Here is a 25778-nt window from a genome sequence, read left to right on the forward strand (position 1 = left end):
GAACTCCTGAGCTCAAGCAATCTGCCCGCCTCACCTCCCAAAGTGTTGGGATTACAGGTGTGAGCCACCGTGCCTGGCCAATGATAAATTTCTTAATTTAAAAAACTGTACTGTGGTTATATAAGAGAATTTCCTCATTTTTAGGAAATATACACTTGAATAATTTAAGGGTGAAGGGATACCATGTCTGCAACTTACCCAACTAATAGAAAAAAATCAGTATGCATACATAAAAATAGAGAATAATAAAGCAGTTGAAGTAAAATTTAAACAGTCTGATGAATCTGGGTAAAACAGACAGGAGTTTTTTGTACTCTTTTCTCTGAATTTAAAATTATACCAAAATAAAAATTTACAAAAAAAAAAAAGAAGCATGAGAAAGCCTGCCTCTTCTAGATGACCTGAGGAGGTACTACTAGGGCGGGGCTTGGGAGGCAGCTAGAGAGCGAGTGCCTGCACCCTGAGGATGTGGGCTTTCATGGGGCTGGGAAGTCTCTTTGCTACTCTGGCTTCCAGCCGCTCCTCAGCTTGGTTCTACAATTTGAAGTCCTGGGAATGAGGCTTTTCCAGCTGAGCAGACAGGGCTGTCAGCAGCAACACTGTCAGGTCTACTGTGAGTCTACTGTTGAGAGTCTCAGACTCACAGAGTCAGAGACTCACCCTGGTTGTGAGTCTACTGTGGGTGAACCTGGACTAGGTGCCTTTTCATGTTATCAAACACTGATGTAGGCATGTATCTATCTATCTTTCTTTCTTTCTTTCCTTCCTTCCTTCTTTCTTTTTTTTTTTTTTTTTTTTTGAGATAAGGTCTCACTCTGTCACCCAGGCTAGAGTACAGTGGTGCAATTATACACATCTCACTGCAGCCACAACCTCCTAGGCCCAAGTGATCTTGTCACCTCTGCTTCACAGGTAGCTGGGACTACAGGCACATGCCATCATGCCCAGCTAATTTTTTTTGTAGAGACAGGATCTTGCTTTGTCGCCCAGGCTGGTCTTGAACTCCTGAGCTCAACCGATCCGCCCACCTCAGCCTCCCAAAGTGCTGGGATTACAAGCGTGAGCCCTTGCGGCTGGCCAGAATCTTGTTTAAGCTTTAAACAAGTAACCTGCTTAAATATGTAGGCTCATCATTTCTGTTTTCCAGGTGAGGTAACTGAGTCTCAGTGAGGTGAGGCTGGACCTCTTCCAACTCTGACTCCAGGGATCATCTACCCCCGCCCCCCCCACCCCAAGTTCCACTCCTTGCACAGGCTGGGGCTTCCCTACTCCGAGCCTCAGCACATGCTGCTCCCTTTGCCTGCACACGGGCCCACCACATGTCTCTGCCTATTGATTTTCCGGCCCAGCCAAGACTGAAGTTGGGGTCTCCTGCCTCTGAATCCTAGGTTTTCAGGGAAAATTAAACACCAGCTGGGCTGAAATCAAGCTTTGCTTTACTGTGAACAAGTCATTTTCCACCTGAATTAAAACCAACCCAAGGGGGGAGAGGATGCTAGAAACACATTTTTGAAGCTGTTTTGAGAGACAGCTGCCATAATGGAAACAAAACAAAACAGGCTAGAAAAGGGGTTGGGGGGTGGGAGATGGTTATGCCTTTCCTTCCCTGTCAGTGAGATCATTCTACTGGTCCCCCTCTGGGCCCTGCTACCCCACTTATTGGGCCTCAGTTTCCCATTTGTAAAATGAGAAAGTAAGGCAATAGCAGGAGTTCTCCTCCAAGGTGTATGACTGACTCACTTACGAAACCTAAAATCTATACTCCCTGGCCCCACCCAGTCAGTAGGCCAAGGTTGGGACTTGGCCTTTTGCTTTTTTTTTTTTTTTTTTTTTTAACAAAGTCCCACTTCTGGTAGGCACACTTTGTGCTGTTTGAGCACCTCCAGATAGTCCCTGCAGGCTCTTCCATCACTGCAGTCCTCCGTCCTCTGACCAGTGATCGGGTGGCAGTGGATTCCTGGGACTCACTGAGGCCCCTTCCCCATGCCCACCAGTTCCTGGGCCACCTCCCGAAGGGCCACTTTGCACCTCTTTGCTGTCTTTCAAGAATCCTGACCGGCACTCGGCTTCTGACGACTGATAATGCTTGGAAACTCAGAGTCACACTCTTGTGGCTGCAAATTAGTAAACCTGAAAGCTCCTCGTCAACTCAGGCGAGCTGTGTGAGTGGGAAGAGGCCTTAGTTTTTGCAACTGCTGTCCCTGGGGGCAAACTGAAAAACAAACTGTATCACATCCTGAAGGCCAAAGGCCACACCCTCAGCCCCAGTGGAGGACTCTGGGGCAAGGATATTTCCTGGAGTCAGAGGAGAGGAGCCTCCATCTGAGCGCCACACCCCCACCCCGCATGGGCTCTGCACTTCCTCCTCAGTGGGGACTTGCTTTTCCCTTCTTCCTCATCCTGTTTCTGCCCCAGGCCCTGGCCCCTCACTGCCAGCCCCACACTCTGGGGAGGAAAGACCCTTTTTAGCGATGGGACTCCGAAAAGTTAACTGACCTGTCTAAGCCTCAGGTTCCTTATCTGTTGAATGTGGCCGTAATGCCTCACACTGTTGTTGGGAAGATTAAGTGATACATAAGGCATGGGAAGTGCTTACAGCAGAGCCTGATGCAGCACAGCCCTAGTAGACTATTAGCGTTATTCTGGAACTCCCTTCCTGCCTCACGGGTGAGCTCTTTCCCATTAATCAAGACCCAGCTCCCCTCCTTTGGGAGGACTTCCCAGGCCAGGCTCCTCAACAGCCTTTCTCTGTTGTCTGCGCACAGCACATTTTCCCTTCCTAGGCTGCCTCCCTCACCAGACTGGCAGGGGCTGAGCTTGTTCATTTGCATGTTCCCAGACAGGAAGGCTCAGTCAGTGCTGGTGGGTGTGCTGCAGTGGAGCTTGTTCCAATCTGGGACAGGGTAAGTGGGGTGGACAGTGGTTGCCCCAGTACAGTAGGCATGTGCCTCTGGCCACCTGGAGGGACCCTACAGGTATTTCCCCCAGCAATAGTGAACCATCATGGCCAGGTGCTGGAACATCCCACTTCAGCCATGGGATGGGTGCACAACCCTACAGCCATGGGCAGCGTCATGACAGTGCATCCACCGAGGTCTAAATGGCCGACTCATGAATGCCCTTCTGGCCATAAGCTGATGGCAGGTTGAGAATTACTCCTGCAGGACAGATGCTCCCCTGCAGAAGGGAGAAGCGTGCGTCACTTGCCCTACCCCTTGGACCAGTGGCAATGCCATCTCCAAATGAAATTCATGGCAAGGGCCTCCTGGCTCTTCGAATGTCACCAAAGAGCTTTCAGACCCTCCTTCTCTCCCTCTTCTTTCCAGCCCCTGCCCCTCTTCAGAAGGCTGGAAGCTCTCGCTTTAGATTCTTCCTGGATAACAAATTAGAATCTTAGGACCCTCAGAGTGCAGTCCCGCCCTCCAGCTTGGTGTCAGCCTCACCTCTGAGAGCTATTCCCCCAACAACGTCTTCTCTTCCAGCCCCTGAGAACTTGGCTGAACTTCCTTCAAAATGGTGTTTATTCGGCCAGGTGCAGTGGCTCACACCTATAATCCCAGCAGTTTGGGAGGCCAAGGCAGGCAGATCACCTGAGGTCAGGAGTTTGAGACCAGCCTGGCCAACACTGTGAAACCCTGTCTCTACTAAAAATATAAAAATTAGCCAAGCATGATGGTGCATGCCTGTAATCCCAGCTACTTGGGAGGCTGAGGCTGGGAGAACTGCTTGAACCTGGGAGGCAGAGTCTGCAGTGAGCCAAGACTGTGTCACTGCACTCCAGCCTGGGCGACAGAGCGAGACACTGTCCCAAAAAAAAAAAAAAAAAAAAAGGAAAAAAGAAAAAAGATGTTTATTTGCTTTCCATCTTGCCTGCATTTTGTCCATTTGTCCATCCATTTATTGGTCAGGAAAGGCTTTCCTGAAGAGGTGACATTTGATAAGAGGGCCAAGGGATAAGGAGTAGTTAGCTGGGCCAAGGCAGGGTCTAGGATGGAACGGGAAGAAGCTTCCAGGCAGAGGGGTGATCATGTGTGAAGGACCCGGGAAAGAAGAGAATGAGGCAGAATGGAGGAATTGAAAGATGGTCCAGGAAGCAGTATCAGAAATTGAGAGAGGCATAATGGGAGTTGAAGTTTTGAAGAGTAGGCTGGGACCAAATTATGCAGGGTCTGTAGGCCATGTAAGGGCAATGGCCATTGTCCTGAGAGTAATGGAAAATCATGGCAAGGTGACAGTGGGACGTTGATATGACCAAATGTGGATCTGAAAATGTCACTCTGCTGTGTAGAGAGCAGACAGGAGTGAGCAGGGTTGGTTTCATAGATGTACAACTCGTGTAAGCAAATTGTACTTGGGGTCTAATGCTCTGAGATTGCTGTCTTGGAATTCTTAATCACATTATTTTTGAATTTGCTTTTCTTAAGTACAGTCTGGTGGGACAATGAAGCATACATCAAGGACTTGGAGCCTTGGCTCCTGTGGTCCTGCTTCCAACTGCCTCCCCTGGACTTGTTCTCAGTCTTCTCCACTTCTGCCTAGCAACCACTGCCACACTCTGCCCCCAGCAGAGACCTGAGTGCAGGCATGGGGACAGTCCGGGTCAAGGGCACACCTGGTAGCATCTGAGGATTGGCCATGGCAATGTGGCCCCTGCCCCAGGCTGGCAACACCATGGCAAATTCAACAGGCGACTCAGGGGGCTGAGCCTCTCACTCACTTCTGACCCTGGTTCCTAGTGCATCCTGGCCTGGATTTTGCAACACCCCTGGGGACTGCCTGTCCGCTGTGGGTTGGTGAGGCAGGTCCATGGGAAATGGCAATGCCTGGCTTGACTTCCCCAACCTCCGCTGGGGAACGCAGAATGCAGATCAGCGTGGTGGCTGACAGGAGGAGAAGTCCAGCAACTGGTGAATTTCACACAGAACTGAGTCAAGTCAGAGGGTGGGGCGGGGCAAGTTGTCCCACAGATATTCCCATGCCCAAGGGAGTGTAACGTTAAATAACAAATCAAAAACACCATTCCAGGTTGAGAGAGAGACTGCAGTAAAGAAACAAGTTTTATAGATTAGTACCTTTAACGGCAATTTTGTCCCTGCTTTTTGAGTAAGAGGTCTCACATTTTTATTTTGCACTGGACTCGCAAATTATGTAGCTGTCCAGGCAGTGAGCAATCAGTGAGATCAAGCTTGTGAAAGTGATGGAGGTCCTGTAAATATTGATCCTCCTTCTGTGGCAGCTGTTGTTACTGGTTTTGTTGTTTCTGTGGCTCAGAGGGATGGATGAAGTGTCTTCAGGAGCGGAGTCCTGCCAGTCAGTGGTGGGGGCTGTGACAATAAATGTTATAAAAACTGATTTTGCATTTTATTCTCAATCCTTGTAGCTACTGCTTCTTGAATTCTTCAAGCAGATGTGTTCAGATACCAGGCAAAACAGGCAGGGGCTCTGCCTGGGAGGGGTATGCCCCCACAGCCTGGCCTGAGGCACAACTGCACAGACCTCAAGGCAAATTGTTTTGAAGCAGCTGGAACAGTCACTAAAAAGCGGTGATTTTCAGGGATGGATTCCTCTCCCCAAGGGCCTGGGCCTGGGTGTGGGTGGGGCTGGTGTGAATAGGGGCCCCCTAAGACAGTACTCTTTTCTGAGGGGCACTCAGACATCTCAGTCTTGCTCCTCCATCTCCCTGACATCCCACCAATCCACTCAAGCCCCATCGCACCTGCCCCAACCAGACCTCATTCCTGTAAAAGTCATCACAATATCTTCTTCTGGTCTCACCCGCTCTGAGCCACTCCTTATGGAGAAAGAACTCCCTAGAACCTGTCTGTCAGTCTCTAGGCCCCTCAGAGCAAAAACCAAGTCTGCCTCCCCTTGAGGCCCCGGTCCCAGCAGGACCCTGCAGGAGTTGGTGCTCAGCAGTGCTTGTGTGCCTGGGCTGAGGAGAAGGTTGTGGTGGTCACGTGGTTGGCTTTCGGCATCCCCGGCTGCCCATTCGCAAGGCCAACCATGGGGAAGTATGAGCACGTGACCCACCTAGGGCCAAGGAGACACAAGGGAAGGTCTCCTGGGGAGCTGGGCAGAAGGGAGGGTGCAGGGGCTTTGGAGAAAATGAGACACAAGGGCAGGTGTCCTTTTCTTTCTCTGCTTGTGGCTGTGTCTGGAGTTGTAGATGAGCTGCTGCAGCTCCTTGGCCTCCAGCCCAAGGAGGAAGATCGTAAATGCAAGAGAAACTCAGAGAGACTGAGCTGAAGCCCTCATGTACCACAGCTGGAGGCTGCCCTGCCTCCAGCCCCGTTGTGTAGATGACAGCACACGTCCTCTGTGTCAGACCCTCTGGTTTATGTTCTTTGCAGCCAAAAGCATCCTCAACTGATGCGAATAACACAGTGATGCAGAATAGCATGTGCTAAAGGCTGGCCTCTCATTCCTATGGCACCATCAGCCCCGGTGGCTTCCCTAGATTGTTTTTCCTTTTATTGACTTGGGTGAGAGGGTCTCGAGGTAGAACTGGAGAAAGGAACAATGAAACGCTTTTTGAATAGAGGGCTGTTAGTAAAAGACAACTGTGGAAGTTAAGAGCGTGTGCTTTGGCTTCGGACAGATCTAGGACCAAAGCCCAGCCTTCTGCTTATTGCCTGCTACTTGGGTGCGTTACTTACACTCTTTAATCACTAGTTTGCCCCTCTGTAAAGTGGGGATAATGACAGTGTAACTGAGGTGGTCCGTGTGAAAAGCAGAATGATGTACCCGGTGCTGGGTAAGTACTCCAAAGCCGAATTGGCTGTCTGGTCGCCCAGCCTGGGGACCTGCAACAGGTAAGGGTGGAAGGGAGGGGAGGAGGAAGGCCTCTCTAGTAGAGAATTGCAGAGTCTCTCCAGAGGTTCCTCACATTACTTCCTTCCCCAGTTGCTCCAGCCCGTCACCAGCATGGCCCTCCATCCGGGGCTGCCCTGGCTGGACAGGTACAGTTGGGAAAGGAAGGCCTCATGTGTGGGAGCCTTGAGGTTGGCTTTGAGGGTGGGAGGATTTGCCCAGGTAAGGAAGATCAAGGAAGGCTTGCCAGAAGGGAGGCTGGGAACAGAGCAGGTGGGAGTGGGAAAGGTGCCTCCAGGGAGAGGGAAGAGGCCTGGCTGGAGCAGAAGTCTCTGGGAGGTGATGGGAAGGACACCTAGAGAGGCAGGGCAGGGAGCCCAGCTGTAAAAATTTCTGCCAATAAGCAGGCAGGAGCCTTCTGTTAACAGAGGGTCTCTAGTCTGCTCCAGACCTAGAGGCATCATCCCATCTGATGGATGGAGAAACTGAGCTCAGGGAGGCTGAGCCAGTGCTATCAGAGGTGGTGGTGCCATTGGGAGGTGAGGTGCAGCCTGGCTCACTCTATGGCCTACAAAGTTCAAGGGGATTTTTACACTATTAATTGTCTTCAGCTGCAAGTAACAAAAAACCTGACTGGGGCGCCTTACAGATTAAAGATTAGCTCAAATCCAAGGTTTCTGGAGGTGAGGGCCTTCTGGGGGCAGTCCCATTGCTCTGCAATCCTCCCCAAAGTGTTTCCTCTTGGGTGGCTATTTCAGAGCCTGGGTGTGCCCCCTCTCTCTAAACCCTGGGCATGCATAATGGGCACTTGGGAGCTCAACTATTTCATCTGCAGCAGCTCTCATCTTATCACCCCGTCAGCTGTAAGGCAGACATCAGTGAGGGTGGTGATTTGCGGACAATCCCTGACTCACCCCATTTTGCCAGCCTGCCCTGGGCTCAGGACTTCCTGCTGCATCTTCTGCTGAGCCGGCAGGGCGTGGCGTCTCAGGGCTGGGGCTGGGGCTCTAGTCCAGGGCTCTTCCTAAGGTGGTACCACACAGTGCCCCCAGCACCTGCCCACCAAACTGGAAATTCCAGAAATATTCTCGACACCGTCTACTTTCCAAAGACTGGGTGTGGCAGATGAGGAAGCTGAGGCTCAGCGAGTTGGGGGGTCTATTAAGGTCCCTCAGCCCCTGAAAGGTGGGGTCAAAATTAAACAAAAACTGGGCCTCAGACTGGGTTTCCAAACACCCCACTCTGTGCCTTGATAATCCTGTTTCTCTCTCCATCCATTCCCATTCACTGAGCCGGAAGCCTCCATCTTCAGAAGGGGGTTCTCTGCCCCAAACAGCGTCTAATCTGGAGACTTGCGGTGGTGGCGGTGGTGGTGGTGGGGGCAGTGCCGGGGCCTCAGGCTGTTCTCCCTCATCTTGCTGCCTGCTCACCTTGCCTCTGTGTGCTCACAGCCCCCCAGAGCACAGCTGTGTCTGCTCCCAGACTATGGGCTCCTTGAGGGCAGGACCTGGTTTGGGTCCCAGAGCAGCCAGGGTTTGATGAATGACAGATGCCCTAGACCTGGGTAAGCCCCTCCAGAATGACTTGCTAGTGCGGGGTGGGGAGTCTGGCATCTCTGGGCCCAGCCTGGAAGGGTGCTGGACTGGCTGGCGGGTGACACACCTGGGGTTCCTGGGCCCCTCCTGGCCACACTGTCAGTGGGCCTCAAGCTCCCTTAGCATATGGCCTCTGGAATAAAGTGAGCCCGCACCTCGGGAGGGGGCAAGCAGAGGCAGGAGCAGGATGGCAGGTGGCAGGCGGGGCTGCACAGGGGAGCACAGCAACTCCACTTCCTGTGGGCGAGGGCCCTGTGCCTGCCCCGGGGGAGGTTGCACAAACCTTCCTGCGCAGGCCTCGGGCTGCCTGCCTGCCTGCCTGCCTGGCCCGGCCCGAGCTCCAGCCTGCCTCTTCCACTGGCCACTGCCTCCCACCCAGGGCTGGCATCCCTGCTCCCTGCCCTGGGTCCCAGACTGTGTCCTCCATCACCGCAGGGTCGGTGAGGGGCTGGGCTGGACACCAGGGCCCGCCCTCCCATCACTGAGCTCCACTCCTTCCTCATTTTGCTGCTGATTCTAGCCCCAAACAAAACAGGTTGAGCTTTTTCCTCCCCTCAGAAGCTCCTCTCTGGCTCGTGGCTGCCTTCTGAGTGTTGCAGACGGCGCCGGCCGGGAAGGGGGGCCTGGGCCAGCCCTGCCAGGACTGGGACGCTGCTGCTGGCGCCTGGCCCTCCATCAGGCCAGCCTGTGGCAGGAGAGTGAGCTTTGCCGCGGCAGACGCCTGAGGATGATGCCCCAGCTGCAGTTCAAAGATGCCTTTTGGGTGAGTGAGGATGGTTGGGGGCACTGAACAAGTGGAGGGGGCAGAGCTAGGCTGAAATCTCCATGCAGGTGATGGGATGCGGCTCCGAGAGGGGAGCTTTCTCATAAAATAGTGGTTGATTCTTGGTCTTAATTGTCATGGAGGTGGCCCAGGCCCCCACCCCTTCTGGACTGGAACGCAAGTGGACTCCGTGAATGAGCGTCCTCCTCTCTGCTGCCCCGTGTGTTTTCTCCTCTGGGAGACCTCTCCCCACAGCAGGAGCTCCTCAGAAGAGGGTAACACATGGGTGGGGGCTTGAGGAGGATGTGTGGGGCAGCAAAGGAGGGGTCACAGATTTAGAGACCAGACAAACTTGAGTTCAGGTCTTGGCTCTGTTACAGGCTGGGCAAGTCATTTCTGTCTCCAAGCCTCAGTCTCTCCATCTATATAATGGTGATAAAATAGAAATCAACACACCAACTAAAGCATTGGATCAGCAAGGGGATCCAAGGCACTAAAGCCCCCAGCACCTTGCCTCACTCCAAATGGTAATTCTGTTCCCCTCACCCAGCCCCTTGTCCCTTGCAGACCTTAGGGGTCCTTCAAGGAGGCAGCCAGGTGGGCAATGGCTTGCTTACTTTCTTAAATTCAACACGGGCTTAAATCAAGTCATTTCCCCCATGAAATAAGGGCGCCCAGCCAGTGGTAGAGGTAAAGTGGCTTGGCCCGGGCCACGTAGCCTGCAGCCCAGCTTGGACCCCTGGTCATCTCAGCACTTTTCCAGCTGTCCTTCAACTACCCCTCTGCCCCTCAGCTCTGGCTGTGCCCAGGGCTCTGGGGAAAAACTGAGACCTCTCTGGTTGGAGCTGGGGAATGTGGCTGTCCCGGGGTGCTGCCTCCAACCCCGAAGAGGACGCTCTGGCCCTCGGCTCAGCCGGCTGAGCCCCAGCCAACAGCCCTGCCCTCCCCGGGCCTTTTCCTGGGGCTGCAGCCAGGAGGATGAGAGCTATGGAGCCAGGCCTTCCTTCCCTTCCGGCCGGCTCCACTTGGGGCCTGTGGCCAGCGTGTGAGTGTTCTGCTTCCTCTGCTCTGACTGTACAGTAGGCAAAGGACCCCACGTGGGGAGGGCACCTTGTGCCTTTCTGGGCCTCAGTTTCCCCATCTCTACAAAGACAGGGTGGGCCCAGCCCAGAGAAGCCAATGGAGGCAGAGCTGCCTCAGCCCATCCGGAGGACCAGGCACCAGGATGCTCAGGGCCCAGGCTGGCAGCTGGAGCCCTGGGGGATGGGGGATGTGAGTCACCACCTAGCTGCCCTGCCTTGGTGTGCAAAGTTGGGGGAAGGGGTAGGGCCTGGAAACCCAGGCCACTCTGTAGCCCAGGGCAGGCCAGGACCCCTTGACTATTTTATCACTGAGACCTCTGTCCAGTCCTAGAGCCCCTGGGCCTGCCTTCCCTAGGGCAGAGCTGGGCAAGGAGCAGCCTCCATGGCAGGATCTGGGCACAGGTAGGGGTGGCGTATAAGGGAGCAGGGTATGGCAGCCGCAGCAGAAGCAAGCAGCCAGCCCCTGTGGAGCTTCCTGAGCGGCATCCTGCCCACACTCTGTGCTCGTCGCACCTCTGGGCTTCCTGGCCTCCAAGTGCCTTGTCTCCTCTGTGTCTGGCTCCCTGAGCCTGGGGCGGGCATATAGTTTCCCTAGGGAAGGCCAGAGCAGGAAGGGGAGAGAAGTAGCCAGTGGGAACCTCTCACACTGAGTCTGGGCCGATGCCCCGAAAGGTCACTGTAGGCATCACCTGCCCCAGGGCTCTGGATTCTAATACCTCTTCCTGATGCTCAGCCCATCCCAGTGCATAACAACTAACATTTGCTGAGCACGAAAGATGTGCCAGGCGCTGTTCTCAAGATGTATGCATATTCACTCATTCAATCCTTCAAACACATGCTACTGTTATCTCTCTTATTCAGATGAGGAAATTGAGGCACGGAGATATTAAGAGACTTGCGCAAGGTCACACTGCTGGGATTAAACCCCTGGCAGGCTGGCTTTAGCACTTGTGTTGTTGCAGGATCCCTCTGTCTATCTGACATATCACTGGATCTTTTGGCTTCGGGGTAAGATAAGAGGTAACCCCTCTTATCTCCCAGAGGGGTAAGAAAATCAGACAAGGTGGCTAGAACAATATTCTGAAGCTTCATTTGTAGACAAATCTGTAAAACAGAAAAGGCACACTACTCTGGCCACAGGTGTTATATTAGGAACAGCCCAGCCAGCTTGGCCCATGTCTGGGCCTTCCCCCACCCCAGCCCAAGGCACTGTCATTAAACCCTTCAGCCTGCCAGCACACTGTTTAGAAATGACTGGTTTTTAGGCGGGGTGCAGTGGTTCACGCCTGTAATCCCAGCACTCTGGGAGGCCAAGGTGGATGGATCACTTGAGGTCAGGAGTTCAAGACCAGCCTGGCCAACATGGTGAAACCCTGTCTCTACTAAAAATACAAAAATTAGCCAGGCGTGATGGCATGCTCCTGTAATCCCAGCTACTTGGGAGGCTGAGGCAGGAGAACAGCTTGAACCCAAGAGGCAGAGGTTGCAGTGAGCTGAGATTGTGCCACTGTACTCTAGCCTGGGTGACAGAGCTGACAGAGTGGAGGGACCCTACTTTGGCTAAACTGGAAAGATCATGTTTGATATCACAGCCCCTCAGTTATTGGGCAACCTCACCCATACAGAACACGGGGCGGAGGAGGGGAGCCAGCCCTGCTGTTTCTGGCTTTAGCTCACAGTAAGGGAGGAAGCAAAAGTGGTTTCTCAGGAGCCAAAGATGATTTCCCTAAGAGCTTTCCTTAAAGCTCATATACTACACTCCTAGGAGATGTCCCCTAGCTTTTACTCAGGTCCTATGAACTCTAATTTCACCCACAATTTTAATGAGCTTGGTCATGGGGTCTTTTAGCCTATAGATGTAGCAATTAGTGGCAGTCTGCACAGTACCTGATATACAGTTGGCGATGGATAAATGCTGATGGACCTGGACTACGAAAGGACGTTTCACAGGCAGCTAGCAGCCTGATTGCAAGGAAGGAGACAGAAACAGTCTGAAAAGCAGCTGTAGTGGCACAGAAGTAGTGGGGACACTCAGCATGGGAGCAGACACAGTCCTGTCCCTCAGTCGGCCTGTTTTTGCAATTTTGTCAGTGTGGCCACACAGTATTTATTTATAGCCTGATTTTAGCTGCAGCCGAGTGTTCAGATGCACGCTGCTGTAGGAGTGAGGCAGGGCGGACCAGCCACAGAGGGAGGGAAGGGATAATGTGATTTCTGTGATACACACAGATGATAAAGAGCATCACACCTTGGCAGGAAGTTTGTAAATGAGCCTCAGAGTGGGACCTGTCAGTGAGACAAGGTTGAATCTGAGAATACCAGCTGTCTGAGCGGAGAGGGCACTGGCCTAGCACTGAGTCTAAGGCGCTGGGAAGCCCAGAGAAGGAAGGGTCCTCCCCCTGCCCCCAGTTTGTCGTGGCTCCACTCCCAGCAGGTGGCCAAATTATTGCAAGAAATGTCTGTCTGTATCCTCTGCACAGGGCTGACAAGTGGGGTACTGGCTGAGGACGTGTTCATAGAATAAATGAATGGACAGTGAATGTCTCCATGGTCCATCTCCCTTCCTGAACCCATTTTTTACTTCATTTCACTTTTTTTTTTTTTTGAGAAAGAATCTTACTCTGTCACCCAGGCTGGAGGGCAGTGGCACAATCTCAGCTCACTGCAACCTCCGCCTCCTGGGGTCAGGTGATTCTCCTGTCTCAGCCTCCCGAGTAGCTGGGATTACAGACGTGCGCCGCCACGTCTGTCTAATTTTTGTATTTTTAGTACAGATGAGATTTCACCATGTTGGCCTGGCTGGTCTCGAACTCCTGACCTCAGATGATCCACCCGCCTCAGCCTTCCAAAGTGCTGGGATTACAGGCGTGAGCCGCCGCGCCCAGCACTACATTTCACTTTTGTTATATTCTGCAAATATTTGGTGAGTAGGGCTGTCTACTAGGTGGTCCACGCTGGACCCCTGAGCTTCTTCACCCTGCAACATCTAATCAGATGAATGAAACTGTCTTGACCTGAAGGAAGCCATAGTTCAGTGCCGGGGCTGGAGGAATAACTGGGTCAGGCAAGGAGTGCTCTGAGAGGAGCAGTATCTCAACTGTGCCATCCTCTCCCAGGTCCCCCATCCCCCGCAACCTGTATGTCTATCCAATGGCCTTTGCAAAGATGTCATTAGATATTGTTTTAAGAGGGAAAATCTAGTTCTGGACCAGATTCTATTGAGATCCACATCCTATTCCTTTTAGGGTAGTTAAAAGGAAAAGTAAGGACCTGGGGAGGCTGGGTCACATGCACTGCAGTGACTGTCACCCACCCTTTGGGTGGGAACCACCAAGGGGGTATGGGGACAATAGGCCTGAACTTTCCCCTTGACATGTGGGTGTATCTCTCCTTTGAGGCTGGGCTCTGGCTCTATCTAGAAACCCCTGTGCCACACTGGGAGGAGCTGAGCCTCCCCAAGCCCATTTAACAGGTGACAGCACCGCTGCCGAGTGGGGCAGTGACTCACCAGCTTCACACAGTGGGACCAGCTGGGCTGGTCTGCCCCTTCCCTATGTGGCACTCAGCCACTGGTGCCTTTTCCCTTCCCAGTTCTGAGATGCTGAGGTGCCCATTTATGAGGCTACAGAGAAGGGGACTGAGGGGCCCTACTCTGATCTGTCATAAAGCTGCCTGTCCCTACCCCCAGACCTGTCTACCATGGCCCAGGGGCATCAGGAGAGCCTGACATTTGCTGGGCACCTGTTCCATCCTGGGCATTTAAAGAGAGATATATATATATATATACACACACACACACACACACACACACATACACACACACACTTTCTAAAGAAACAAAATCAACTAATATAAGATCCTAAAAGGAAAGTGGGGAAATGGAGAAAAATAGGAAAAGAAGAAGCACCTTTAGTCTCATCACACAACTGCTAATATTATGCTGTGTTTGCATAAGATTGCCTTACATAGGTGCAAGCATATTGTGTACATAATTTTGTATTTTCCCTTTCTTTTACAAATTTTTTATTTTTGCAGAGATGAGGTCTCCCTGTGTTGCCCAGGCTGGTCTCAAACTCTTGGGCTCAAGCAATCCTCCTGCCTTGGCTTCCAGAGTGCTGGGATTACAGGCGTGAGCCACCATGCACGGCCCTCCCTCCTTTTTTTTTCTAGTATTTTAAATTTTATTTTAAATTGTAGCGAAATACACATAAAATGTACCATCTTAACCATTTTTGTGGTGTATGGTTCAGTAGCGCTAGGTTTGTTCACACTTTGCCACCCTCCCCTTTTTTTAGCGTAACTCACTCCATCGGGAACACCTGTGGGTGTGGACATGGGTTCCTCATTTTCAGCAACACCACTGTTCATGGCTGCACAGTTCTCTAGCTTGTGAATTTGGTGACCATGCTGTGATTTTTTTTGCCCAGTCCTCCACTGCTGAACATTTAGGTTACTGCCAATTATTTATTATTCTGGACAGTGACACCATGGGTAGATCTTTGACTATAAAGGTTTTTCACTTGGGGATTATTTCTTTGGGCAGAGGAGGCTAATGGCTATTTTCCAGGGAAGGAGGCATTTCTGGGTGAAAGAGTGGGGCCAGTTCTCCAGCCATGGGTACTAGCAGTCACTTTGGGATCCCCCATAGTCCTCTGGTTGGGCAGGAGCTTTTTCACACAGGAAGGAGGGACCCCAGAATGGCCTGGAAGGGTCAGGGCCTGTGGATGGGGCCCTGCTGGAAACCAGAGCCTGCACTGACTTTGTGGAAGGCCTTGCAGCCCAGCAAACTGCTGTGGCTTTGAGGGCCAAGGAGGCCAGTGGCTGAGGAGTGGCCCTGGTGCACTCAGAGCTTGCAGACAGTGCAGGAGGTGGGAGAGAGAGGCCCTGGCCATCCTGCCTTTGCTGCCACCAAGTACCTTCCCGGCACCTGCCTGGCTGCATCTGTCAGAAGCAGTGAGGACGGAGGCTCTCCCTTTCCTGATTGGGAAAGCTCTTTAAGACCTGGTGTTCCCTGTAAAAAGCAGAGAGCCTGGCAGTGCACCTGGTCGGCAACCCGTTGTGAAAAGTGGGGAAATAAGCATTTATACTGGCGCAGGCTTGTAGTATTAACAACAAAAATCTGTGGACGGATGCACAGGGAGCTAATTAAAGTGGTTGCCTGTTGGGAGAATGAGAGAAAGGAGATGGATGAGGGATGAGGCTGAGCGGCTGTGAACGTTTTCAGGATTGATGTTTTTATACTGTTTGATTTTTGAACCATATGAATGTATTAATTATTCAAAAATTAAATCAAACAATTAAAAATGAAAAAGAGGACATTTATTTCAAGTCCCATGAAGAATTTTTCCCTGAATCCCAGCTACTTACATCATCCCCTGAGGAGCAGCAATGCTGCCATTTGCTGAGTGCCTGTTCCATGCCAGGCATGCTGCCATTCAGTCCACATGCCCCCAAACGCATTGTCAGTGTCTTCCTGACTCTGTGATGGGACCTAAGGCACGGCAGGTCTAGGCCCAGACGAGGGTCACCTGTGCAGGGTAGAGCAGGGACTCCCACCTAGGTCTGTCGAACTCTATTGCCCTCTGCCCTGAATTCTAGAGAGTTTGTTCTTGCTTCTACTTTAATTTGTGTAGGATGAAAGGATGCTTCCCTACATGTTAACACTGGTGTCTATGGATTTGGAAGTAGGATTCTCTCCATCCCCCATCTAATTTTCTGCAAGTCAATACAGAGTACCTTTGTCATTAAAAAGAAAATATTTAAAAAGAAAACTAAGCAATTCCTGCTTTCAAGAATGAGTTGGTGTTTCTAGGCCAAATTTGTGGTTTGCTAGCATGCCCTTTTCCACATGCTCGGTGCATATTTTGTGGTACGTGGGCCTCTGGGGACCAAGAACTTCGTTCATCTGTGCCCATTCCACAGGACGTGGCCGGCTGCTCAGGTGTTAGAAGATTGCAGAGGTTTGTGGTCATGCTTGCTTTGCTTTTGCGATGCCTGCAGATGGTCACTGCCAGGATTTGCTGGCTGCAGGGTTCTGGGTCGATTTGGTGTTCTGAATTCAATTTTATTCTTGATAAAAAACAAGATCTGCTTCTTGATGACCCACTTTGTGCTCCAGTCCCCTGGAACCCACATGCTTTTCCTGGCTGCTCCTGACATCTACACAGAACTAGGGCAGCCCCTGGGATGGAGAAGGAGGGCCTTGCTTTGGGCTTTGAAGGGTGGGTGAGGATTTGAGACATGTCAGGAGGACAAACGGCACTCAAGGTGGGAGGTACGGCATGGGCAAAGGTGTGGAAGGGGGTTTGGAAGACAGTTTTCTGGCCCAGAGCATTGTGCAAGGTGACTGGTAGGAAGGGAAGGCACGAGCTGGATTGTGAAAGGTCTCTGCCCTAAGTGGTGGCAGAGATACTTTCTTCTGCCTCTCTGCACCCTCTCTGGTGGTGGCTGTTTCCTCTCATGCAAAAGAGGACAGAGGCTGCGGGCTGTGAGTGGGATGCCCTTCCTCCTCACCCAGAGCCTGGCTGACGCTGCAAACCACATGATGGAGGGAACTTTGGGTGGAAACCAAGACTGCCTCTGCTTCCAGCTAGAGAGCATGATGCCCTGGGCCCTGGGCTGCCCACACCAGGACTCTCCTCTGGGTTGGCTCTGGAAGGTTCCTCCCTCACAGACTCAGTCATGCTCCATCCTCCAGGCTTAGAAGGAAATCGGCTTCTTGGGAGGCCGAGGCGGGTGGATCATCTGAGGTCAGGGGTTCGAGACCAGCCTGGCCACCATGGTGAAACCCTGTCTCTACTAAAACTACAAAAAAATTAGCGGGGCATGGTGGCGCATGCCTGTAATCCCAGCTACTCAGGAGGCTGAGGCAGGAGAATCGCTTGAACCCAGGAGGTGGAGGTTGCAGTGAGCTGAGGTTTCACAATTGCACTCCAGCCTGGGCAAAAGAACGAAACTCCGTCTCAAAAAAAAAAAAAGAAGAAGAAGGAAGCGGGCTTCTTTGAAGCCTCACCCAACCCTCACCCACACTTGCTAGGTGGCCTTGGAGAATCATTTTCCCTTTCTGAACCTCAGTTTCCTCATCTGCAGGATGTCAGGGTCGTCATCACTTAAGATAAGGGCTTTGAGGTTGGGGCGGCTCAGGGCAGTGCTAAGGGACCACCTCCTGCTCACCACAGTGGAGTAGCAGACCAGGAACAGTTCCCAGGGGACCCAGATTTATAATTGGATATGCACCCATAGGGTGAGCCTTATACATAGATCTTGCTGTTTCAGAATGCCTCCTCCAATCATGTTCACCATTGCATGTTATACTCCACCATTAGAGAATCATTCCTTTGGTTTCAAGTAACAAGATGATCTATGTTATCTCACTTAATTCCAACAATAGTCCTGTGAGGTCAGTATTCTTATTCCTGTTTTACAGAGAGGAAACTGAGCCTCTTGGAAGGAATGTGGGCCTGGGGGATGCCACACAGATGGATCGGACTGGGCTGGGCCTGGATGCCACCTTCCCAGGTCTGGGTCAGAGAGCCCTTTGCAGTTAATGGGAGGGTGTGTTGGTTTGCTGAGGCCTGGCACACTGAGCAATGGGTGATGGAACAGGCAGGAGAGCGACAGCTCCTTCCACTGGTGTTGACAGGCCACCCACCATTGGGCAACAGGAAGTGCCAGCTGGAGCCCTGGAGACCAGCAGCCAGTGTGGGGATGTGGTGGCCAGATGGAACTCAGGGCTTCCCAGCTGTGGAAACAGGAACGGGAAACAGCCACACTGGGGAGGAAGTCAGGGGGTGATGGGCTGAGGCAAGAGCATGCCTGCGTGGCTAGAGAGAGTGACCAAGGTGGAGAGTAGTTGGAGATAAGGTAAGAAATAGAACAGTGGCCAGGCGTGGTGGCTCACACCTGTAATCCCAGCACTTTGGGAGGCTGAGGTGGGAAGATCACTTGAACCCAGGAGTTCAAGACCAGTCTGGGCAACATGGTGAAACCACTTCTTAAAAAAAAAAAAAAGTACAAAAATTAGCTGTACCTGGTGGTGCACACCTGTAGTCTCAGCTACTTGGGAAGCTGGAGTGGAAGGGTCACTTGAGCCCAGGAGTTGGAAACTGTAGTGACTGTATGATCGCACCACTGCACTCCAGCCTGGGCAACAGAGCAAGACTGTCTCAAAACAAACAAACAAACAAACAAAAAAAACAAAGAAAGAAAAGAGAAGCAGAGAGCCAGATCTTGTAGGACTGTCATTCTAAAAAATCCCAATGCCCAGGCCACACCCCAGGTCAATTACACCCCGATTTCTGAGGGTAGGACCTGGACATCAGTATTTTTCAAAGTTCCCCAGTGCCTCCATGTGGAACTTTAGCTTGAGAGGCATCAACATAGATAATTGTGGTAATTAATTACCATTGCTGGCCAAGCATGGTGGCTCATGCCTATAATCCCAGCAGTTTGGGAGGCCAAGGTGGGCAGATCACCTGAGGTCGGGAGTTCAAGACCAGCCTGGCCAACATGGTGAAACCCTGTCTCTACTAAAAATACAAAAAATGTAGCCAGGTATGGTGGTGCATGCCTGTAATCCCAGCTACTTGAGAGGCAGAGGCAGGAGAATTGCTTGAACCTGGGAGGCAGAGGTTGCAGTGAGCCAAGATTGTGCCACTGCACTCCAGCCTGGGCAACAAGAGCAAACACTCAATATCAAAACAAAACAAAACAAAAATTACCATTGCTGACAATAGGCATACATCTGGTTTTTACCATTTTCCTGACCTCATTTGACTCACCTGAGTGAGCAGAGGTTAGAAGTTTTGGGGGTGGTGGTAATTATATGTAACATAAAATTGACCATTTTAACAATTTTTAAGTATATGATTCAGAGGCATTAAGAACATTCACTATTTCCTGAACTGCTTCATCATCCTGAACAGAAATTGTACCCATCAAACAATAACTCCCCACCCCTTCACCGCATACCTTGTTCTACCTCGATTCTACTTTCTAGCTCTATGGATTTGCCTATTCTAGGCATCTCCTGTAAGTAGAATCAGATAATATTTGTCCTTTTGTGTCTGGCTTATTTCAGTTAGCATAATGTCTTCAAGGCTCATCCATGTCATAGCATATGTCAGAATTTTCTTCCTCTTTATGACAAAATACTATTCCATTCTACGTATATACTTTATTTTGTATATCCATTGATCCATTGATGACCACTGGGCTGTTTCTTTGAGCTACTGTGAATAATGCTGCCATGAACATTGGTGTACAAGTACCTGTTTGAAACCCTGCTTTCAATTCTTTTAGATTATACCTAGGAGTGGAATTGCTGGATCATATGGTAATCCTATGTTTAACTTTTTGAGTAACCGCCAAACAGTTTTACATTCCCATCAGCAATGCAAAAGGGATCCAATTGCTCCATATCTTTGCCAACTCTTGTTAATTTCTGTTTTTTTTTTAAATCATAGCCACCTTAGGAGGCATGAAGTAATATCTCATCGTAGTTTTGATTTGCATTTCTCTAATAATTAATGATGTTGAGCATCTTTTCATGTGTTTATTGGCCATTTGTGTACCTTCTTTGGAGAAAGTCTATTTAAGACCTTTGCCCACTTTTGAATTGGTTGTCTTTTTATTGTTGAGTTGAAGGAGTTCTTTATATTTTCTAGATACTCATCCTTTATCAGATATATGATTTGTAAATATTTTCTCCCACTCTGGAGTGTCTTTTCACTGTTTTGATATACAAAAGTTTTTCATTTTGATGAATTCAATGTGTCTACTCTTTGTTTTGTTGCCTATGATTTTAATATCATATCAGAGAAATAATTGCCAAATTAAATATCATGAAGCTTTCCCTATGTTTTCCTTTTAAAATTTTGTAGCTTTAGGTCTTACATCTAGGTGTTCACTTCATCTTGAGTTAATTTTTGCATATGGTATAAAGTAAGGGTCCAGCTTAATTCTTTTGCATGTGGATATCCAGTTTTCCCAGCGCCATTTGTTGAAGTCTGTCCTTTTCTCATAGAATGGTCTTGGCACCCTTGTCAAAAATCAATTGACCATATATGTTAGGGCTTATTTCTGAGCTCACTATTTCCATTCTATTGGTTATATGTCTGTCCTTATGACACTACCGCACTACTTCAATTACTGTAGCTTTGTAGTAAGCTTTGAAATCAAGAAGTGTGAGTCCTCCAAACTTATTCTTCTTTTTCAAGATTGTTTTGGCTCTTTGGGGGCCCGAGTAGAGCTGCTTTTGTTGTTCCCTTTTTATAGGTGAGGAGACTGAGGCCTGGACCCTCCTGAGTTTGCCCAGCCTGGACTGGCCACGAGTCCGTGACAAACTCCTCATCATACTCTCACCCTGGGCATGTGTAGGGAGACACTTGCTTTAGAGGGCCCCTGGGTTGTGGGCTCCTCCCTGCGATTGCTCTGCCTTACAGCTCCCCAAGAAGGTCCATCTATGACATCTCGGCTTCCTTGAGGCCCCACCTGCTCTCACTCTTCTTCAAGGAGGGTCTGGAGGGAAGGCCTGGAGGCTGGGTCACCAACTTCCTCAGTGGATCAAGATAAGACCCTGCAAGGAATTAATGTCTGTCCCGGCCTCAGCTTGCCTGGATAAAAATCAGACTTCTGGCCCTGTGCAGTGGCTCATGCCTGTAATTCCAGCACTCTGGAAAGCTGAGGCAGGTGGATTGCTCGAGCCCAGGAGTTCAAGACTAGCCTAGGAAGCATGGCAAAACCCAATCTCTACAAAAAATACAAAAATTAGCTGGGGCGTGGTGGTGCACACCTGTGGTCCCAGCTACCTGGGGGGCTGAGGTGGGAGGATCACTTGAGCCCAGGAGGTCGAGGTTGCAGTGAGCTGTAATCATGCCACTGCACTCCAGCCTGGGCAACAGAACACTTTTTTTTTTTTTTTGAGATGGACTCTCGCTCTGCTGCCCAAGCTGGAGTGCAGTGGCACAATCTCAGCTCACTGCAAGCTCCGCCTCCTGGGTTCACGCCATTCTCCTGCCTCAGCCTCCCGAGTAGCTGGGACTACAGGCACCCACCACCATGCCCAGCTAATTTTTTTGTATTTTTAGTAGAGACGGGGTTTCACTGGTTAGCCAGGATGGTCTCGATCTCCTGACCTCGTGATCTGCCCGTCTAGGCCTCCCAAAGTGCTGGGATTACAAGTGTGAGCCACCGCGCCCGACTGGCAATAGAACACTTTGAGGACTGCAGTCACTGAAGCAGAAGGGATTCCCTTCTTGGTCACCTCCTGAACAATTGCCCATTGACCTGGACCAGCTCTGAGCCCACTCTCCTAGGCATCAGGACATCAGACTACAGGTGGTAGGAAGACCCAGAACAGCTGAGGATGGTTCAGGCAAGCAGAGCTGGGGGTGGAGGGCGGGAGATCAGCACAGAAGTCTGGATCAGTGTCCCTGGAGCTGCAGTGAATACTAAACGCAGCCAGGTGTGAGGTCTGCACAGCACAGGGAAGCACAGGGTGTGGGTGGGGTGTTTGGGGATATCTGTGAGGATTCTCACTGACCCTGAAACCAAAGAAACAGGTGTGGCTGGTGCCAGGACCAAGGGAAGACCAGCAGCTGAGCCTGGGTCTAGGGTCAGAGCAGGAGCCGCTCTGAAGCTGCAGAAATTTCATCCCCGTCCTCAGATAACTCCCAGTCCTCAAGGGAAGGAGCTTGCACTCAGGGTCTGGCAGTCTTTTTGTTTTGTTTGTTTTTTGAGACAGAGTCCCACTCTGTTGACCAGGCTGGAGTGCAGTGGCACCGTGTCGGCTCACTGCAACCTCCGTCTCCTGGGCTCAAGCAATTATCCTGCCTCAGCCTCCCGAGTAGCTGGGATTACAGGTGCCCGCCACCACACCCGGCTAATTTTTGTATTTTTAGTAGAGATGGGGTTTCATCATGTTGACCAGGCTTGTCTCGCACTCCTGACCTCAGGTAATCCACCCGCCTCGGCTTTCCAAAGTGCTGGGATTACAGGCGTGAGCCACTGCGCCCAGCATTCTTGATCTGAGTCCTACCTCTGTGTAGGCTGAGAGTAAAACGTTAAATAGTGAGTGGTCCCAGAGAGCACTAGGCTCCTCACACAGCCCCCAGGCCTGGGGTAGGGGGAGCATCTGACTCTAAGTAGAGTCGTGTTTCTCCACCATGCGGCTGTGTGTAACATGTACACTGGCTGTGTTGGGCAGAGCAGGGCGATTTCCCAGACTCCAACATAGAAGCCTTTACTTGGCAGGCGCCATCTTTGTCTCTCACTCTGACCTTGGAGCCCAGTGGCCCGCTTCGATCCTACTACACTCATGGGTGGTCCTGGGGAGCCCCTCAACTCTCTGAGCCTTGGTTCCTTGTTTGTAAATATTGTAGTAGTAAACTAACTTTGGTGGTTAGAGGATTGAGAGTGGAGACATGCAGGTTAATGGCCAAGCAAGGATAAGGAGCCCCACGTGCCATCCCCTGCAGGTGTGGAGTCCAACTAGCCCCCCAGGCACGGAAGGCCTCAGGCTCAGCTCCGAGGCCCTGAACCTGCTGAGGATGGCAGAGAGAGCCAAAGGGCCTCCAGAGGCTGCAGGGGTCCCTGCCTTCAAGGAAGGGCACGGGCATAGGAGTGGAGCTCCTCTGAAGCTCTAGGGGCCCATCTCTGTCTCTTGAGCAAGTCCCAAGCCCAGGGGAGCCTGCCAGCCCTCACACCTACAGCAAATCACAGCCGCAAAGCAGGCACCTCATATCAGCCCTATAAGGGCTTAGGAGTCCACGTATTCTCCCCAATTTACAGATGAAAAAATTGAGGCCAGAGAGTGGGAGCCACTAGTCTAGAGAAGTGTCCCAGCTAGGATCAAACCCAGTTCTCCTTGTAAACGCCCCTTCCCTGGGCTCCTCTCAGTTAACATGCATGAATCCCCTCGGCTGCCCTTCCAGGAGCCCGGTGAGCGTCAAATGCCCTGCATGAGGCTCCTGCAGGTGTTGTCCATTCAGTCCTCAGAGCCCCTGGAAGTGGGTGATGCTCTCATCCCGATCTCACAGAGGAGGAATCTGGGCTCAGGAGGTTTGTGACTCATGCAGACTGTGTGGAACTGGCCAGAACCAGAACCCAGTGCCTGAGCCCTGTCACGCCCCACTGCCTGGACTCGCTGTGGGCCTGTCCTCCCCTGGGACATCCCTGGCAGGCGTAGGTGGTGTGGGAGGGCAATGCCTGGGGACGGGGATGTGCAATGACAGTGCCTGGACCACTGGTGCCCCTGGCTGGTCACTCACAGGCGGGAGTCCATTCGGCAAGGAGCCGTGCTCTTCCTGTGAAGACGCCTGGACCCCTCCTGGCTGGCTACAGGGTCAGTGCCTCCTCCAGGGCTTGGGGTCTGGGGTGGCTCAGCTCCATCCTCCCCTGCATCAGTCACCCCCAAGGGCCCACGGCCTCCCTTCCTCACTTGCCCTCACTGTCGGCCTCCTTCCTCGCCCACTGCTGGATCCTAGTGAGCCTCCAACTGCCAAATCAGCTTGGCAGGGGCGGTACAGAGCTGTGTAACCTGGACAAGTCACTGTTATCCTCACTTCCTTGTCTGCCTGTAAGATGGAACAGTAACAGCACAGTACTAACTTGACGGGGTTCCCTGAGGACTGGAGGGGATCATGCGTGAGAGCCCCACCAGGCACCGCACACTCAATCCCTTCCCCTGAACCTGGAACCTGGTCCTGGTTCCTATGACCTCCTGGGAAGGTCCTGCCCTTTGCTGTGTGTGACTTGGCTCTCCTCAGTCTGGCCTCAGGCCACCTTACAGACACCTGCTCCATCTCCCTGCACCTGTCTCTGCTGCCTTGAAGCAGGTTGCACAGGAACAGCACTAGCACTGGACTTCCAGGCAGCTGAGTCTGAGGGGCGTGTCTCCATCTACCTCTGGCCGCCTTGTGTTTGCTCCTTGCCTCCTCTCTCACTTTTCTTCTCTTTTCTATTTCTTTTTCTTTTGAGACAGGGTCTTACTCTGTCACCCAGGCTGGAGTGCAATGGCTCAATCTCGGCTCACTGCAGCCTCTGCCTCCCAGGTTAAAGTGATTCTCCTGCCTCACCCTCCGAGTAGCGGGGATTACATGTGCCCGCCACTACGCCCAGCTAATTTTGTATTTTTAGTAGAGACAGGGTTTCACCATGTTGGCCAGGCTGGTCTCAAACTCCTGAGCTCAAGTGATCCACCCCTCTCAGCCTCCCAAAGTGCTGGGATTTCAGTTGTGAGCCACCACGTCCAGCCCTCTCTCTCTTTTCTGCATGTTTTGGTTTCATGACACAGGAGAAAGAAGTGGGGATTGGGCTGGCCCCATGAGAGTGAAGGAGGGGAAGCAGGCGGGGAACTCAGGCAGTGGGGTGCTTTCCTGCCTCATCATTGAGAAGGCCTATTTAAAAGAACAAAGCTTTCAAGCCAGACAGACCTTGGTCAAAAGCCAGACGCCCCACAACATTAGAGAGAGTCACCTCTCTTGTCTTCACCTTCCTCATCTTCATGACAGACAGTAGCTGCCTCGTGGTCAGTATTGCTGAGGGCAGGTACCACACTCATGCACAGTGTGTCCTTGTCCAGTGCCTGTGTTGTCCCTTCAGTGGGACCCCTGGGAGTCCCTGGAAGCTCACAGGGCTCTGATGGGGTCCCTGTCAGCCACGGGCCTGTGGGCCTCCCAGCACAGTGGAGCCCAGCCCAGGCATCTCTGGGACTCGGCCAGCTGGGCTGCTCAGGTGAGGGGCCCTGTAAGGCCCGGCAGAGGCCATCAGACTGGGACTCGGAGGAGAACTGTGGCACTCTGGAAACTCATTTCTAATCTCAAGGTCCTGTCAGCCCAGGTGAACAAAGAGTCGCTCATCTGACATTAATGCACATTTGTTCTCTAAAAACTAAAAGTCTGTCTTTGCCTTCTTGGCCCTCTGTCTTCAACACTTACCCTGGGCCATCTCAGACAGCTGTAAGTCATCTTCATCCCATATTTATTTGCTTATACATGGATCGCAGCAGTACTTGAGTCAGGGGACCCCTAGACACCAAGTCCCTAGTTTAACAGGCCATCTGAGGCTTGAGTCCTCTCTGTGGAACCAGACCTGCTTACAGACTGTAGTGATGGGCGCTCCTCACCTGTCAAAGCCCCCCACCCTCTTTCCATACCTACAGCCATTCAGGCTCCTGGGAAGCCTTTCCTTGCATTGTCCTGGAGTTGGCCTCCCTGTCTCTGCCCCCATGAGTCCTGGCTTGGGCTGGGAAATGCCAGCCACTAGTGCTCCCTCTGCTTCTGATGGCCCCACAGAGATCTCCAGGTGAGACTTTTCCTAGGCCATTCCCTCACAGCTTTGGCTTGGAACTCTCCCTTCCCTCCCTATCACCTCCTCCCAAATACTCTGGGTAAGCAACCGCCTTGTTTACTGAGGGCTCTGGCCATCCATCCATCCATCCATCCATCCATCCATCCATCCATCCATCCACCCACCCACCCACCCACCCATTCACCCATCCACCTGTCCATCCATCCATCCGTCCACCCA

At 51.7% G+C, this 25778-nt stretch overlaps 1 protein-coding gene across 15 annotated transcripts in view, besides 3 other annotated features; it reads left to right on the forward strand.

Annotated features, from left to right (window-relative positions):
* Window positions 1931-2090: an enhancer, noted in NCBI's record as "active region_9884". NCBI's record gives its function as "activates an Ori minimal core promoter by ATAC-STARR-seq in GM12878 lymphoblastoid cells {active_cell/tissue: GM12878}" and the evidence as "EXISTENCE:reporter gene assay evidence [ECO:0000049][PMID:35858748]".
* PSTPIP1 (proline-serine-threonine phosphatase interacting protein 1) overlaps window positions 8239-25778 on the forward strand; it is a 42796-nt gene continuing 25256 nt past the window's right edge. For 13 of the 15 annotated variants that reach the window (NR_135552.2, XM_011522168.4, XM_011522163.3 and 10 more), the window contains exon 1: window positions 8685-9168. Coding sequence is in view for 14 of the 15 variants with exons in the window: in XM_011522168.4 (XP_011520470.1) it covers window positions 9133-9168 (36 nt within the window). In the remaining variant the exon portion in view is untranslated. Of the gene's footprint in view, window positions 8375-8684; window positions 9169-21405; window positions 21625-25778 lie in introns of those variants that run through there. The other 2 variants (NM_001321137.1, NM_001321136.2) reach the window with 2 other exon arrangements.
* Window positions 8390-8439: an enhancer, noted in NCBI's record as "active region_9885". NCBI's record gives its function as "activates an Ori minimal core promoter by ATAC-STARR-seq in GM12878 lymphoblastoid cells {active_cell/tissue: GM12878}" and the evidence as "EXISTENCE:reporter gene assay evidence [ECO:0000049][PMID:35858748]".
* Window positions 8680-8869: a silencer, noted in NCBI's record as "silent region_6694". NCBI's record gives its function as "represses an Ori minimal core promoter by ATAC-STARR-seq in GM12878 lymphoblastoid cells {active_cell/tissue: GM12878}" and the evidence as "EXISTENCE:reporter gene assay evidence [ECO:0000049][PMID:35858748]".

Source organism: Homo sapiens, chromosome 15 (assembly GCF_000001405.40).
Source record: "Homo sapiens chromosome 15, GRCh38.p14 Primary Assembly".
NCBI lineage: Eukaryota > Metazoa > Chordata > Mammalia > Primates > Hominidae > Homo > Homo sapiens.